Raw genomic sequence first — 18,034 nt, 5'->3', positions numbered from 1 at the left:
GAGGATTGTATATGCACCAATCAGCACTCTGTGTCTAGCTAAAGGATTATAAATATACCAATCAGCATTCTGTAAAAATGGACCAATCAGCACTCTGTAAAATATACCAATCAGCACTCTGTAAAATGGGCCAATCAGCACTCTGTAAAATGGACCAATCGGCAGGACATGGGCCGGGCCAAATAAGGGAATAAAAGCCGGCCACCCGCACCCGCAATTGTGATGTGCTCAGGTTTTCTTTTACTGCTGGAATGTTTGTTGTATGGCTTGTTGAAGATTTTGTTTTTCTGTCTTGGGGGCGTCGGCACTATGTTGAAGAGCTGTAACATTTATCGCGAGAGTTTGTGTCTTTTTTTCTGGACCAGGAATCCGCCGCAAGGAACGAAGTCCGGACGTGCTACTTTTAAGAACTATGGCACACCGGAAGGACCAAACTAAGTACGTGTCACCTTTAACAGCTGTAATACTCACCGTGAGGACCACGGCTTTTTTTTTCTTTTTGATACAGGTTTCCTTCTCTGTTGCCCGGGCTGGAGTGCAGTGGCGCGATCTTGGCTCACTGCAAGCCTTTCGGGTTCACGCTATTTTCCTGCCTCGGCCTCCCGAGTAGCTGGGACCACGGCCGCCCGCCGCCACGTCTGGCTTATTTTTTTGTATCGTTAGTCATAGATGGGGGTTATACTGTGTTAGCCCGGGCCGTCTCGATCTACTGACGTCGTGCTTTTTCTGCCAGGGCCTTTCAAAGTGCGGGGGTATAACAAGCGGCAGCCACAGCACCCCGCCACTGGCGTCAGCGAGACCGAGAACCTACCAGAAGGGATAAATACTGGACACAACCCTACTGTGCTTGGCTAATTTTTAAATTTTTTTGAGAGCTGGGGATCTCGGTATGGTTTCCTGGCTGTTGTAAAACTCATAAGCTCAAGCAATCCTGCCTCAGCCTTCCAAGGTGCTAGGATTACAGGCTTGTGCCAGTTTACCCTGCAGAAACTTAACTTTTAAAGAATTTTATATATAGGCCACGCCCGGGGGCTCATGCCTGTGATCCCAGCGCTTTTGGAGGTCAAACCGGGCGGATCACTTGGAGGTGAAGAGTTTGAGACCATTCTGCGCAACATGGTGAAACCCCGTCTGTACTAAAAATACAGAAATTAGCCAGATGTGGGGGTGGGCCCTTGTAATCCCAGCTACGCGGGAGGCGGAGGCAGGAGAGTTACTCAAACTTGGGAGGTGGGGGTTGCCGTGAGGCGAGATCGTGCCCGTGCGCTCCAGCCTGGGCAACAGAATTAAAAGATTCCAGCTCAAAAAAATATATATATATATACCATGAGAATATTACAAACATCTTGAAGTAAGAGTCTGTCTTACACATGTTTAATTCATAGGGCCTAATATACTGCTTCAGCACATAGTAAAGCACTCAGAAATTGAAAAGACAAAAAGGAAAGATTTTTAAAGCTGGTTTTAACCCAAACTAAATAAACATAGCCTGGGCTTAGAATTTGTTAAGAATGCCCAAAATTCACTACTGGGGCAATTAAATAATCATCTCACAACTATGAATGTGCTAAGCTCAGCCTTTTATTTTACACGTTGTCTAATTCTCTGTCAGATATCCCGAAGTTTTCGCGTCAAAGATGTGCTTCATTCTTTTTTAAAAAAATTAAGGTGAAATTCACATAAAATTAGACATTTCTAAGTTGTACAATTCAGTGACATTTAGTATATTCACAATTTTGTGCAACCACCACCTTTATCAAGTTATAAAACATTTTCATCATCCCAAAAGAAAATCCAGTACCCATTAAATAGTCAATACCCATTCTTCACTTTTCCACCCCCTGGAAACCACCTATCTGGTTCCTGTCTCTATAGGTTTACTTATTTGAGATACTTTCTATAAATGAAGCCATACAGTATAAGATCTATTGTGTCTGGCTTCTTTCACTCACCATATTTTTGAGGTTCATTCATGTTGTAGCATACATAAATACTTCATTACTTTTTAACAATAATATTCCATTGTATGTATAGACCACATTTTGTTTATCCTTTCGTCCATTAATGGATATGCAGGTTGTTTCCATCTTTTGTCTACTGTGAATAGTACTGTATAAAAATTGATGTATAAGTATTTATTTGAACATCTGTTTTCAATTATTTTGAGCATAAACCCAGGAATGAATTGCTGGGTCAAAAGATAATTAATGTTTATCTTTTGAAGAACCACTAGTTTTCCACAGTAGTTGCTCCATTTTATATTCCCACTGGCAATTTGGATGTGAAGTGGCGCACGTCATTGTGGTTTTCGTGTTCTTTTTTGTTTTTGAGACAGGGTCTTACCCTGTCGCTTAGGCTGGAATGCAGTGGTACAATCACAGCTCACTACAGTTTTGACCTACTGGGCTCAGGTGATCCTCCCACCTCAGGCTCCTGAGTAGTTGGGATGACAGGCGCATGACACCATGCCCTGCGAATTTTTGTATTTTTGGTAGAGACTGGGTCTCACCTTGTTGCCCAGGCTGGTCTCAAACTCCTGGGCTCAAGTGATCCACCCACCTTAGTCTCCCAAAATGCTAGGATTACAGGTGTGAGCTACCACCACGCCCAGCCAATTGTGGTTTTAATACTCATTTTTCTAATGACTAATGAAGTTGAACATCTTTTCATGTGCTAGTTGGCCATGTTTTGGAGACATGTCTATTCAAGTCCTTAATCCATTTTTAATTGAGTTGTTTGCCTTTTTGTCATTGAGTTGTAAGAGTTCTTTATACATTCTGGATACTAAACTTTATCAGATACATTATTTGCAAATATATTCTCCCATTATGAAGGTTGTCTTTTCACTTTCTTAGTAATTCCCTGGGATGCACAAAAGTTTTTAATATTGATGAAGTCTGATTTATTATTTCACTGCTCGGCTTTTGTATCTAAGAAAACATAGGCACATCCAAGGTCATGAAGATTTGCTTCTGTGTTTTCATCTAAGAATTGATTTTAGCTCTTATATCTAAGTCCTTAATCGACTTTGAGTTCATTTTTGTATATATAATTTTGGTAAAAATATACAAATTTTTTTTTTTTTTTTTTTTTTGGATACAGAGTCTCACTCTTGCCCAGACTGGGGTGCAGTGGTGCAATCTTGGCTCACTGCAGCTGCTGCCTCCCAAGTTCAAGCGATTCTCTTGCCTCGGCCTCCCAAGTAGCTGGGATTACAGGCGTGCAACCACACCCAGCTGATTTTTTATTTAGAATAGAGACGGGGTTTCACCGTGGTGGCCAGTGTGGTCTTGAACTCCTGATCTCAAAGTGATCCACCTGCCTCGGCCATCAAAGTGCTGGGGTTACAGGCATGAGCCACAGCGCCTGACCAAATTTCATTTTTTTCTACTTGGATATTCATTGTCCTACTCTCATTTGTTTTATTTTATTTTTTATTTTTTATTTTTTATTGAGACTGAGTCTCACTCTGTTGCCCAGGCTGGAGTGCAGTGGCAACATCTCAGCTCACTGCAACCTCCTCCTCCTGGGTTCAAGGAATTCTGCCACCTCAGTCTCTCGAGTAGCTGGGATTACAGGCGCATGCCACCACACCCAGCTAATTTTTTTATTTTTGATAGAGATGGGTTTTTGCCATGTTGGCTAGGCTGTTCTCAAACTCCTGACCTCAAGTGATCCGCCCACCTCAGCCTCCCAGAGTGCTGGGATTACAGATGTGAGCCACCGCACCAGGCCCCCTCCCCCATTTGTTGAAGATATTTTTTTTCCCCAATTTGCCAGAGCAATTAAGCAAGAAAAAGTAATAAAGGGCATTCAAGTTGTAAAGATACAAATAAATTATCGTTTTCCATAGATGAAAATTTATATGTACAAAACTTTAAGATTCCTGGCCAGGCACAGTGGCTCACGCCTTTAATCCCAGCACTTTGGGAGGCTGAGGAGGGCAGATCACGAGGTCAGGAGTTCGAGACCAGCCTGACCAACATGGTGAAATGCCCTCTCTACTAAAAATACAAAAATTAGCTGGGCGTGGTGGCACGTGCCTGTAATCCCAGCTACTAGGGAGGCTGAGGCAGGAGAATTGCTTGAACCTGGGAGGTGGACGTTGCAGTGAGCAGAGATCATGCCATGGCACTCCAGCCTGGGTAATGAAGCGAGACTGTCTCAAAAAAAAAACAAAAAACAAAACAAAAACAAAAAAACTTTAAGATTCCTTGAAAAACTGTTAGAACTAATAAGTAAATTCAGCAAAGAAGCCGGACGAAAAGTCAACATGCAAAAGTCAGTTGCATTTCTACACACTAACAGTGAACAATCCAAAAAGAAAATTAAGAAAACAATTCCAACAGCTGGGTGCGGGGCTCATGCCTGCAATCCCAGGACTTTGGGAGTCCAAGGCGGGTGGATCGCCTGAGCTCAGGAGTTCAAGACCAGCCTGGGCAACATGGTGAAACCCCATCTCTATTAAAATACAAAAAATTAGCCGGGCGTGGCGGCATGCACCTGTAACCCCAGCTACTTGGGAGGCTGAGGCAGAAGAATTGCTTGAACCCAGGAGGCGGAGGTTGTGGTGAGCCGAGATCGCGGCACTGCACTTCTGCCTGGGTGACAGAGTGAGACTCCATCTCAAAAAAAGAAAAAAAATTCAGTTACAAGAAAATCAAAAAGAATAAATATATAGGAATTAAATTAACGAAGAAGGTGGAATATTTGTACAATCAAAACTACAAAAACCTTGCTGAAAGAAATAAAACACGAATGGAAAGACATTCCGTGTTCATGAACTGAAAGACTTAATATTGCAAGATGTCCGTATTAGCCAGAGAAATAGAGCCAATAGGATATACATGGATATATGAGTGTCTTTATTATAGGAATTAGCTCACCTGCTTATGGGGGCCAAGAAGTCCCACAGTATGCTGTCTGAAAGCTGGGGAACTAGGAAAGCTGATGGTGTAATTCAGTCATGGTAGGAAGTCCTGTGAACTGGAGGTGGTGGAGAGGGTACCCTGCTGGTCCTAGAGTCTAAAGGCGCAAGACCAAGAGCTCCAATTTCTAAGGGCAGGAGATGATGGTTGTCCCAGACCCAGGAGGGAAAAGAAAGAGAGGAAATATGCCTTTCCTTAATCATTTTGTTTTATTAAGGCCTCCAACAGATTGCAGAATGCTTACGCACATTAGTGAGGGCCGATAATCTTTACTCAATCTCCTGACTCAAATGCTAATCTCTTCTGGAAAGACCCTCAAAGACCCATCTGGAAATAATGTTTTACCAGCTATCTGGGCATCCTTCAGCCCAGTCAAAGTGGCACAAAAAGTTGGCCATCACAATATCAATACTACCCAAAGGAATCTGCAGATTTTATGCAATGTCTCTCAAAATCCCAATTACGTCTTTTGTAGAAATAGAAAAGCCCACTCTAAAATTTATATGAAATCTCAAGGGATGCTGAATAGCCAAAACAATCTTTAAAAGGAACAAAATGGAAAGACTCGCTTCCTGCTTTCAAACTTACTATAGAGCTACAATAATCAAAGAAGTATGGTACTGACATAACAGACACATAGATCAATGGAACAGAATAGAGAGCCCACAAGTAAACGTTTGTGGCTATGGTCAAATTATTTTCTTTTTTCTTAAATTCTGTATTTTTTGTAGAAAAATACAAAATGGTTTTGCCATGTTGCCCACACTGGCCTCAAATTCCTGAGTTCAAGCAATTTGCCCACCTCAGCCTCCAAAAGTGTTGGGATTACAAGCATGAGCCACCATGCCCACCCTCAAATGATTTTCAACAAGAGTACTATACCATTCAAAGAGGAAAGGACAGTCTTTTCAACGAATGATACTGGGAAAATTGGATATTCACATGCAGAAGAATGAAGTTGGGACTCTTACCTTATAATACACACAAAAATTAACTCAAAATGAATCAAAGACTTAAATGTAAGTGCTAAGCTATAAAACTCTTAGAAGAAAACAAAAGAAAACATTCATTACATTGGATTTGGTAATGATCTCTTAGTTCTGACAGTAAAGGTACAGTCAACAGGAGAAAAAATTGACAAATTGGACTTTGCAAAAATTAAAAATTTTTTTGCATGGAAAGATGCTGTCAGCAGAGTAAAAAGGCAACCCACAGAATAGGAGAAAATATTTGTAAAACACATATCTGATAAGAGATTGATTTCCAGTCTATATATATAACTCCTAAAATTCAACAGCAAAGAAACAAATAACCTGATTCAAAAATGGGCAAAGGGCTGGGCACAGTGCCTCATGCCTGCACTTTGGGAGTCCGAGGTAGGTGGATCACCCGATGTCAGGAGTTCAAGACCAGCCTGACCAACATGGTGAAACCCCGTCTCTACTAAAAATATAAAAATTAGCCAGGCATGGTGGTGAGTGCCTGTAATCCCAGCTACTTGGGAGGCTGAGGCAGGAGAATCACTTGAACCCGGGAGGCAGAGGTTGCAGTGAGCCGAGATGGTGCCACTGTACTCCAGCCTGAGTGACAAGAGCGAAACTCCATCTCAAAAAAAAAAAAAAAAAAAAAGGGCAAAGGAATTGAATAGACATTTCTCCAAACAAGATACATGAATGCCAGTAAGCACATGAAAAGATGCTCGACATCTCTAATAATCAGAGAAATGCAAATCAGAACCACAATTGGATACCACCTTACATCAATTAGAATAACTACTATCAAAAAGCTACTACCGGCCAGGTGTAGTGGCTTGCGCCTGTAATCCCAGTACCTTGGGAGGCTGAGGCAGGCAGATCACTTGAGGTCAGGAGTTCGAGACCAGCCTGGCCAACATGGTGAAACCCTGTATCTACTAAAAATACAAAAATTAGCTGGGTGTGGTGGTGCACGCCTGTAGTCCCAGCTACTCGGGCAGCTGACGCAGGAGAATCGATTGAACCCAGGAGGCTGAGGTTGCAGTGAGCTGAGATCATGCCATTGCACTCCAGCCTGGGCAACAGAGCAAGACTCCATCTCAAAAAAAAAAAAAAGTAATCAAAAAGTAATCAGTGTTGGCAAGAATGTGAAGAAATTGGAACCCTTGTGCACTGTTGGTGGGAATGTAAAATGGTACAGATGCTGTGGAAAACAGCCAAAAATTTAAAATGTAATTACTATATAATCCAGTGATTTCACTTCGGTGTATATAGTCAAAAAAATGAAAACAGGGTCTTCAAGATATCTTTGTATACCCACATTTATAGCAGCATCATTCACAGTAGCTAAAATGTGGAAGCAACCTTAGTGTCCATCGGCAGAAGTGGATAAGCAAGATGTGGTACATACATACAGTGGAATATTGTTTAGTCTTAAAAAGGAAGGAAATTTGGACATATGCTGCCACATGGATGAACCTTAAGGATATTACATTAAGTGAAATAAGGCAGTCACAAAATGAAAAATACATAATATTCCACTTACATAATGCTATGGTTTGGATATTGTCTCCACCAAAACTCATGTTGAAATCTGTTCCCCAATGTAGTAGTGTTGAAAGACAGAGCCTAGTGGGAAGTATCTGGGCTTGGGGATGGATCCCTCATGAATAGCTGAATGCCTTCCCAAGGAGGCAGGTTCTTACTCTCACAGGAATGGGTTGGTTCCCATGAGAGTAGGTAGGTAAAAGGAGTCTGGCTTCATTGGGTTTTTCTCTCTCTTGCTTTCTCTCTTTCTTTGTGATCTCTTTACACATGTCTACTCCCTTTCCACTTTCTGACATGAGTGCAGCATGAGGTTCTCACCAGAAGTGAAGCAGATGCAGGCACCATGCCCCTTCAACTTCTCAGCTTGCAGAACCATAAGCTAAATAAACTTCTTTGTTTTTTTTTTTTTTTTTGAGACGGAGTCTCGCTCTGTCGCCCAGGCTGGAGTGCAGTGGCACAATCTCGGCTTACTGCAAGCTCCGCCTCCCGGGTTCACGCCATTCTCCTGACTCACCCTCCTGAGTAGCTGGGATTACAGGCGCCCGCCACTGCGCCCAGCTAATTTTTTGTATTTTTAGTAGAGACGGGGTTTCACCATGGTCTCGATCTCCTGACCTCGTGATCCGCCCGCCTCGGCCTCCCAAAGTGCTGGGATTACAGGCGTGAGCCACCGCCTGGCCAATAAACTTCTTTTTAAAAGAAATTATCCAGTCTCAGGTATTCTGTTTAGCAACACAAAATAGACTAAGACACATAAGGTACCTTGAGCAGTCAAATTCATACATACAGAAAGTAGAATGCTGGTTGTCAGGGGAAATGGGGAGTTATTGTCTAATAGGTACAGAGCTTCACTTTTTGCAAGATAAGAAAAGTTCTGAAAATGGGTGATGGTGATGGTTACACAACAATATGAATGAAGTTAGTACCATCGAACTGTACACTTAAAAATAGTTAATAGGGTAAATTTTATATGTATTTTATCATACTTTTTGAAAAATTTTAGGCCAGGCGAGGTGGCTCACGCCTGTAATCCTAGCACTTTGGGAGGTCAGGGCAGGCAGATCACTTGAGGTCAGGAGTCTGGGACCAGCCTGACCAAAATGGTGAAACCCCGTCTCTACCAAAAATATAAAAACTTAGCCAGTGTAGTGGCACGTGCCTGTAGTCGCAGCTACTCAGGAGGTTGAGGCAGGAGAATCACTTGAACCTGGGAGGCGGAGGTTGCAGTGAGCCGAGATCGTGCCACTGCATTCCGGCCTGGGTGACAGAGGGAGACTCCATCTCAAAAAAGTAAAAGAGCCAGGCGTAGTGGCTCACGCATGTAATCCCAGCACTTTGGGAGGCCAAAGGCGGGCGGATCACCGGAGGTCAGGAGTTTGAGACCAGCCTGGCCAACATGGTGAAACCTCGTCTCCACTAAAAATACAAAAATTAGTGGGGCATGGTGGTGGGTGCCTGTAATCCCAGCTACTCGGGAGGCTGAGGCAGGAGAATGGCGTGAACCCGGGAGGTGGAGATTGCAGTGAGCCAAGATCACACCATTGCACTCCAGCCTGGGTGACAAGAGCAAGACTCCGACTCAAAAAAAAAAAAAATTTAAGAACAAAGGACACTGGAGCCAATTTTATTTATTTATTTTTAATTTCAGATTCAGTGGGTACATGTTTAGGTTTGTTTCATTTAGGATATTTTGTGTGATGCTGAAGTTTTGAGCTTCTATTGAACCTTCACGTCACCCAAATAGTGAACATAGTACTCAATAGGTAGTTTTTCAACCCTTTTCCCCTCTTTTCCTCCCCGCTTTTTAGAGTCCCCAGAGTCTATTGTTCCTATCTTTATATCCATGTGTACTCAATGTTTAGCTCTCATAAGGGAGAACACGCAGTATTTGGTTTTCTGTTTTGGTGTTAATTCACCTAGGATAATGGCCTCCAGCTGCTTCCATGTTGCTGCAAAGGAAACAATAACATAATTTTTTTTTTTTTTTTTTTTTTTTTTGCGATGGAGTCTTGCTCTGTTGCCAGGCTGGAGTGCAGTGGTGTGATCTTGGCTCACTGCAAGCTCCGCCTCCCGGGTTCAAGCGATTCTCCTGCCTCAGCTTCCCGAATAGCTGGCACTATAGGCGCGCACCTCCACACCCAGCTAATTTTTGTATTTTTAGTAGACACAGGGTTTCACCATGTTGGCCAGGATGGTCTCCATCTCTTGACCTCGTGATCTGCCTGCCTCAGCCTCCCTAAGTGCTGGGATTACAGGTGTGAGCCGCTGCGCCCAGCAATAGTGTCATTATTTTTTATGGCTGCATAATATTCCATGGTACATATGTACCAGATTTTTTTTTTCAGTAATGTGCTGATGTCATAACAAGGTTTGCGGGTGGCACATCTCACACATGCGGGTGAACACCCAGTTCTCACACTCATGAACTCCAAAAGGATCCCAGATTGTCTCTATCCAATCTGCTGGTAGAGGGCACCTAGGCTGATAACTTTGCTGTGATGAGCATACTAGTGCAGACGTCTTTTTGGTAGAACAATTTATTTTCCTTTGGGTATATACCCAGTAATGGGACTGCTGGCTCAGGTGGCAATTCTATTTTTAGTTCTTTGAGAAATCTCCAAACTACTTTCCACAGGGGCTGAACTAATTTACATTCCCACCAACAGTGTATGAGTGTTCCCTTTTTTCCATAGCCTCACCCACATCTGTTATATTTTGACTTTTTAATAATAGCCATTCTGACTGGTATCTCATCATGATGTTAATTTGTGTTTCTCTGATTATTAGTGATGATGAGTATTTTTTCATATGTTTATTTGGAGCCAACTTTAATAGCTCTCACTAGCTGTAGTAGGCTTAATAATGGACCCCAAAGCTATCAGGTCCTACTCCCTAAAATCTGTATATCTTTTCTTACATGGCAAACATTGGCAAATATGATTAAATTAAGGATTATGAGTTAGGGAAAGTGTGGAATAATCAGCATGTGCTCTAAAAGCAATCACATATATTCCTACAAGAGGGATGCCAAGAGAGATTTGACATCCAGAAGAGGAGAAAGCAATGTGACCATGGAAGTGAAGATTGGAATGAGCCGGGCAATGTGGATCACATCTCTAATCCCAGCTACTTGAAAAGCTGAAGTGGGAGGATCTCCTGAGCCCAGGAGTTAGAGACCAGCCTGGGCAACATAGCGAGACCCTCCATCTCTAAAAATAAATAAATACATAAATAAATATTAGCTGGGTGTGGTGGTGCACACCTGAAGTCCCAGCCACTTAGAAGACTGAGGTGGGAGGATCCCTTGAGTTCAGGAGTTTGAGGTTGCAGTGAGCTGTGATCACGCTACTGCACTCCAGCCTTGGCGACAGAGCAAGACTCTGTCTCAAAAAGAAAAAGAAAAAGAAATAAAGAAAATCAAGTCCCAGGTTCCGCCTCATAGGTGATTCATAAGTATTTGATGAATGAGGCACTGACTTGGGAGACCTAAGACAGTTAATCCAGCTCCTGGAGTGGGAGGAAAGAGGTCCTTTTGAGAGGCAACAACCAAAGCTGCAAGAGCCTTTAAAGATCACCTAGTTCCACCCACTCTCCACCCAAAAACCAAGATTCACAGATGGGAGAAGTGATCCTGGAAAGGTGAAGTCCTTGCCCAACGCACTCTGTGGCACAGATGGGCTGGAAACCTGGTCTATATAACAACCAAGTCAAGTTTTTATTGAGTATCTATTGGGTGCCAGGCATGGGGTTGGGTGTGGGAGGCCCAGATGAGTATGGGGTGAGCCCAGCTGTACCTTTCTGCCTTCCTGAGAGCAGCAGGAAAGAATGGTTCAGACAGGAAGACGCCTCTGACGTGGTGGTTCTCAAACTGGAGAGAATAACAGCATCACCAGAGGAACATGTTTAAAATCGACTCTGGGCTGGGCGTGGTGGCTCACGCCTGTAATCCCAACACTTTGGGAGGCCAAGGTGGGTGGATCACAAGGTCAGGAGTTCGAGACTAGCCTGACCAACATGGCAAAACCCCGTCTCTACTAAAAATACAAAAATTAGCTGGGCGTGGTGACACATGCCTGTAATCACAGCTATTCAGGAGGCTGAGGCAGGAGAATCACTTGAACCTGGGAGGCGGAGGTTGCAGTGAGCCAAGATCGCGCCACTGCACTCCAGCCTGGGCGACAGAGCAAGACTCTGCCTCAATAAATAAATAAATAAATAAATAAATAAATAAATAAATAAATAAAATTGACTCTGTCTGGAAACCACTGGCCTGGGCTCTTCAAAACTGTCAGTGTCATGAGAGAGGGAAAGGCCGAGGGGCCATTCCAGATTGAAGGAGACCTAAGAGACACGGCAAGTAAATGCAACACCTGTTCCTGGACCAGATCCTGGTCAGGGGAGGAGGATCGTCCACAATGGAAAATATTGGGACCATTGATACAATCTGAGTACTAGATAATATTATTCTATCAGTATGAGTGATACTTGCTCTGTCATTATGGCTGCAATGCTCTTGTTCTTTAACACATGCTGAGGATTTAAAGATAAAGAGACATTATGCCTGAAACTATCTCCAAAATTAAGTATGTGCCTATAAAAGGGATTTTATTTATTTATTTTTTTTTGGGGTAGAGTCTCACTCTGTCACCCTGGCTGGAGTGCAGTGGCGTGATCTTGGCTCACTGCAACCTCTGGCCTCCTGGGTTCAAGTGATTCTTATGCCTCAGCCTCCCAAATAACTGTGATTCCAGGCATGCACCACCATGCCCAGCTAATTTTTGTATTTTAGGCAGACGGGGTGTTTCGTCATATTACCCAGGCTGGTCTCAAACTCCTGGCCTCAAGTGATCTACCCGACTCAGCCTCCCAAAGTGCTGGGATTACAGTCATGAGCAACCGCGCCTGGTCTATAAAAGGGATTTTAAAGCAGATGTAACAAAACGTTAGCAATCAGAGAATCTGAATGAAAGCGTAGACATAATTATTCATATTGTCTTAAATACAACTCTGTAAGTTTGAAATTTCTCCTTTGACCTTGAATTGTTTTGAAGTCCACTTTTTTATTTTTTATTTTTGAGATGGGGTCTCACTCTGTTGCCCAGCCTGGAGTGCAGTGGCCCGATCTTGGCTCACTGCAACCTCCACCTCCTGGGTTCAAGGAATTCTCTTGCCTCAGCCTCCCAAGTACCTAGGATTACAGGCACCCACCACCATGCCTGGCTAATTTTTGTATTTTCAGTAGAGACAGAGTTTCACCATGTTGGTCAGGCTGGTCTTGAACTCCTGGCCTCAACTGATCTGCCCGCCTCAGCTTCCCAAGTGCTGGGATTACAGGCATGAGCCACCGTGCCTAGCCATAGAGTCCACTTTTAAAATTAATAAACAAATCAGAGGATGGGCACTGTGGATCACTTGAGTTCAGGAGTTCACAGCCAGCCTGGGCAACATGGCAAAACCTCGTTTTTATTTAAAAAAAAAAAAAAAGAACTTAGCCAGACATGGTGGCTTACACCTGTAATCCCAGCTACTCTAGAAGCTGAGGTGGGAGGATCACCTGAACCCAGGAGGTCAAGGATGCAATGAGCTGTGATTATACCATTGCACCCCAGCCAGGGTAACAGAGTGAGACCATCTCAAAAAATAAAAATAAAATAATAATAATAATAAATACATGAGTCTGCTTAAAATTTTCTACACATGTGCATTTTAAAATTTCTCCAAATATTACTTTCCGATTTTTTATTATTAACTTTCCTTTGTGCATTGCAGTCAGGGAATGCCATGTGTACATGATCCATTCTTTAATATTTGTTGAGAAATCCCTTATGATCCAGTTAGTATTCAGTTTGTGTAAATGTTTCACATATTGAAAAATTAGTCATTTCCTCATTATTGGGTGCAGATCAATTTTTTACATTTAGTATAAATTAGAGCCATATATGTGCTAAAGAGATTTTTTTTCTGCATGACTTTATGAAAGTGTAGCATAATTATGGATTTTTCAGTTTCACCATATAGTTATGAATGATTCCATATGTAAGGTGCATGCAGTTTCTAAACTGAGCTGGGCATGGTGGCACGTGCTTGTAGTCCCAGCTACTCAGGAGGCTGAGGTGGGAAGACTGCTTGAGCACAGGAGTTGGCTACTGTACTCCAGCCTGGGCGATAGAGCATGACCCCATGCTCTATCAATGAAAATAAAAATAAAAATAAAATAAAAACAAAACCCTTAGAATTCTCTAGTTAATTGTTCTTTTTTTATCAATAAGTAATCGTTCTTTTGCCTAGTAATGCACTTTGCAAAAATGTCTATTTTATACATTATTGTTGTTTCACTTTCTTTTGCTTAATATTTCTCTAGTATACATTTTTTATCTCTTTACTTTCTGTGTTATTATAATTTGCAGCATATCATAAACCATACATTGCTACCATTTTAAAAAATCCAATCTTCAAGTATTTCTCTTTCAATAGGCAAGCATAATGTCTATTCATATTCGTTTTTAGCATTTTATTTTGTTTTCTATTTTTGTTTTGCTTATTTTTTTTCTCCTTTCTGCCTGTGACAGTTTTAACATATGTCCACATATTCTCTGGTACTTTTCCATTTAATTTTTACTGCCCAATTCCCCTCTGCTTGACTGTGGGAAGCACTTAGTGACTTGCTTCTAATGACTTCAATAGAAATGACAGTGTAAGGCCAGGCGCAGTGGTTCAAGCCTGTAATCCCAGCGCTTTGGGAGGCCGAAGTGGGTGGATCACCTGAGGTCGGGAGTCGGAGACCAGCCTGGCCAACATGGTGAAACCCCGTCTCTACTAAAAATACAAAAATTAGCCAGGTGTGGTGGCTCATGCCTGTAATCCCAGCTACTAGGGAGGCTGAGGCACAAGAATCGCTTGAACCCGGGTGGCAGAGGCTGCAGTGAGCCGAGATCGCACTACTGTGATCTGTGCACTGTGCCACTGCACACCAGCCTGGGCAATAGAGCGAGACTCTGTCTCAAAAAAGAAGGAAAGAAAGAAAGAAAGGAAGGAAGGAAGGAAAGGAAAGAAGGAAGGAAGGAAGGAAGGAAGAAAGAAAGAAAGAGAAAGAAAGAAAGAGAGAAAGAGGGAGGGAGGGAGGGAAGGGAAGGGAAAGGAGGGGAAGGAAGGAAGGAAAGAAGAGAGAAAGAGAAATGACAGTGTATGGTCAGGCGCAGTGGTGCACACCTGTAATCCCAGCACTTTGGGAAGCCAAGGCAGGTGGATTGCTTGAGCTCAGGAGTTTGAGACCAGCCTGGGCAACTACAAAAAATACAAAAATTAGCTGGGTATGGTGGTACATACCTGTAGTCTCAGCTACTTGGGAGGCTGAGGCAAGAGGATTGCTGGAGCCCAGGAGGCGGAAGTTGCAGTGAGCTGTGACTGCACTGCTGCACTCCAGCCTGGGAGACAGAGAAAGACCCTGTCTTGAAAATAAATAAATAAAAAAGGCAGTGTACCACTTTGGAGACAACTAGAGAAGAGCTGAAGCCTCGTGCTAATAGCCACATGAGTGGGCTTATAAGCAGATCCATCAGCCCCTGTCAGGCCTTCATACGACTGCAGCCCTGGCCTACGTGTGGACTGCAACCTCATGAGAGACCCTGAGTCAGGGCCACCCAGGTGAGCTTCTTCCCAGTTCTTGACCTACAATAACAGACACGATAAGTATTTGTTATTTTAACCCACTAAGTTTTTAGGTAATTTGTTAGGCAGTAATAGACTATTATCCTGCCTCCTGTGTGATTGTTCAAGTTTTCTTTTTCCCATCACTACTAATTATTCTTTTTTATTTATTTATTTATTTTTTTGGTTTGAGACAGCATCTCCCTTTGTTGCCTAGGCTGGAATGCAGTGGCACAATGACAGCCCACTGCAGCCTCAACCTTCCGGGCTCAAGCGATCCTCAGCCCCTCACTCCTGAATAGCTGGGAATACAGACATGTACCACCAAGCCCAGGTAATTTTGTTGTTTTTTTGTAGAGACAGGATTTTGCCATGTTGCCCAGGCTGGTCTGAAACTCTTGGGCTCAAGTGATCCACCTGCCTCGGCCTCCCAAAGTGCTAGGATTATAGGCATGAGCCACCACGCCCAGCCAGTACTAATTTTTTATTCTTTTAGTAGCTATGCTTATATAGCTAATATATATTTGATTTTAAAATACCTATTTACATACATGCCCTTCTCTTACAAAATATAAGAACGTCAGAATATCTTAACACTGATTTCTTTTTCCCATACTCCATGTTAATATTTCATATACTTATAGAACATAATTTAAGTTAAAAAAAGAAATCAATAAAAATAGAAAGTAAAATGAAACAAGTAAAACTTGTGTATCCAGTTGGCAGCATAACCATCTAGCAAGAAACACCATCTGACTTTACACACTTCAAATTACTGTGCATAGTAAGTTGGAATTTCTCTAAGGAAAAAAGTAACTGTAAACTAAGTTTAAATTATTTTTATTAATTGTATTGTGGGTGGTATTTGTATGTATTTTTATTCTGTGATAGTGGCATCTGTGTAGGATAAAGCAAATAAGATTTATGGGCCGGGTGCGGTGGCTCACGCCTGTAATCCCAGCACTTAGGGAGGCTGAGGAGGGTGGATCACTTGAGGTCAGGAGTTCAAGACCAGCCTGGGCAATGTGGTGAAACCCCGTCTCTACTAAAAATACAAAAATTAGCCAGGCATGGTGGCAGGCGCCTGTAATCCCAGCTACTCCAGAGGCTGAGGCCTGAGAATAGCTGAAACCCAGGAGGTGGAAGTTGCAGTGAGCCGATATTGTGCCACTGCACTCCAGCCTGGGCAACAGAATAAGATTCTGTCTCAAAAATAATAATAATAATAATAATTTGGTTCTATTTTTGAGAACTGGACTATTTGGCATGAGACAAAAGAAATGCAAATGTAAGATCAGTGAGTTTCAGAAAAAACCGTGTGTTTCAGTATGAATTCATGTTATAATGCTAATATAACATATTCATTCCTAGCTCTGTTCCCTGAAAAGCCTATAAACAATGACCACGTAGAGCAATAAATACTCCTAGCTTCTAGATTTTGCTCCTTAACTACTATGTCCCACTAAAAGAAAACAATGGTTTGAAAAAATGACAGATTCAGGTGTGGGTCAAGAAATGTAGGCAACGATGGAACATCTCATTATAACAGAAAGCAAGGAAATATGAAAGATGACTCAGATCATATCAAAAGGGCTCAGAAGCAAAGTTGAAATGACCGAAGTTGAAACACTATGACTATCAATAGAATACCTAGGATAGATTAAAAGCAAAAGCTACTACATAAGCTTTAATCTCTGACTGTGCTCATCATAGTAAAATAATTGATCCCTTTGAAAGGTATTTGTAAAACAACTGTTGATATAAAAATAAAAATGTAGAGATGAAACTCTAACATTTTATTTGGAGAGAAAGAATTGCAGCTGGGGGCATATACACAGATCAGGTGGTTTTCTTCATGTCTGAGGAACAAAGAGAAGGTTGGGGGTTTTATGAAAAAGAGAAATGTTACCTATTGCTTGTTGAGAAAGCTCTCTGGCACTAGTAAGGTTCTGGGGAGCTGGCAAGCTCCAAATGGTGAGCAACGGCAGTGGCCAAAATTAATCCTAAAGTTGCAGCAAGCCATCTCAGCAGTCTTAGATAAAACTGGTTTCAGGCTGGGTGCAGTGGCTTACGCCTGTAATCCCAGTACTCTGGGAGGCTGAGGTGGGCAGATCACTTGAGGTCAGGAGTTCGAGACCAGCCTGGCCAACATGGTGAAACCACATCTCTACTAAAAATACAAAAATTAGCTGGACGTGGTGGCGCATGCCTGTAATGCCAGCTACTCTAGAGTCTGAGGCAGGAGAATCATTCGAACCCGGGAGGCGGAGGTTGCAGTGATCCAAGACTGCGCCACTGCACTCCAGCCTGGGCAACAGAGCAAGACTCCATCTCAAAGAAAAAAAAAAGCATCCTACTGATTCTAGAGATCTTTTTAAAAATATAGCAACCAGTCATCTCATGCTTTTTCAATCTTAGATTCTGTTCCTTCTCTTCTAATAAATTTTCATTATTTATTGCTTAAAATAGCTTTTCACTGGTTTGTCCAAGATAAGCATTAATTCCCTCAGTCTCTTTTCTCTCTTCCCCACCCCAGTTGTTTTTGATCTATGTTTCTAATATCCCTATGAATTACTTGGGATGACAATTTAAGAATATTGTAAGACAACACTTTTTTTTTTTTTTTTGAGATGGAGTTTCGCTCTTGTCGCCCAGGCTGGAGTGCGATGGCGCGATCTCTGCTCACGGCAACCTCCGCCTCCCAAGTTCAAGCAATTCTGCCTCAGCCTCCCAAGTAGCTGGGATTACAGGCATGTGCCACCACGCCTGGCTAATTTTTGTATTTTTAGCAGAGACGGGGTTTCTCCATGTTGGTCAGGCTGGTCTCGAACTCCCGACCTCAGGTGATCCACCCGCCTCAGCTTCCCAAAGTGCTGGGATTACAGGCGTGAGCCACCGCGCCTGGCTGTACTAAGCCACTTTCAAAGAATAAATAAA

At 42.5% G+C, this 18,034-nt stretch overlaps 1 protein-coding gene and 1 non-coding gene across 3 annotated transcripts in view, besides 1 other annotated feature; both read right to left on the bottom strand.

Moving 5' to 3' along the window:
• The window catches only part of ZMYM2 (zinc finger MYM-type containing 2), a 225,276-nt gene that overhangs the window by 204,041 nt on the left and 3,201 nt on the right, over positions 1–18,034 (bottom strand). The gene's annotated exons all lie outside the window — the stretch shown is intronic.
• Positions 9,790–9,888, bottom strand: LOC124903265 (small nucleolar RNA U13). The gene has a single exon (XR_007063964.1). It is a non-coding gene; the product is annotated as a small nucleolar RNA U13 (small nucleolar RNA).
• Positions 16,653–16,732: a silencer, noted in NCBI's record as "silent region_5142". NCBI's record gives its function as "represses an Ori minimal core promoter by ATAC-STARR-seq in GM12878 lymphoblastoid cells {active_cell/tissue: GM12878}" and the evidence as "EXISTENCE:reporter gene assay evidence [ECO:0000049][PMID:35858748]".

Source organism: Homo sapiens, chromosome 13 (genome assembly GCF_000001405.40).
Source record: "Homo sapiens chromosome 13, GRCh38.p14 Primary Assembly".
Classification (NCBI taxonomy): domain Eukaryota; kingdom Metazoa; phylum Chordata; class Mammalia; order Primates; family Hominidae; genus Homo; species Homo sapiens.
The sequence above is the reverse complement of the archived record's forward strand: the minus strand, read 5'-3'. Positions and strand labels throughout refer to the sequence as shown.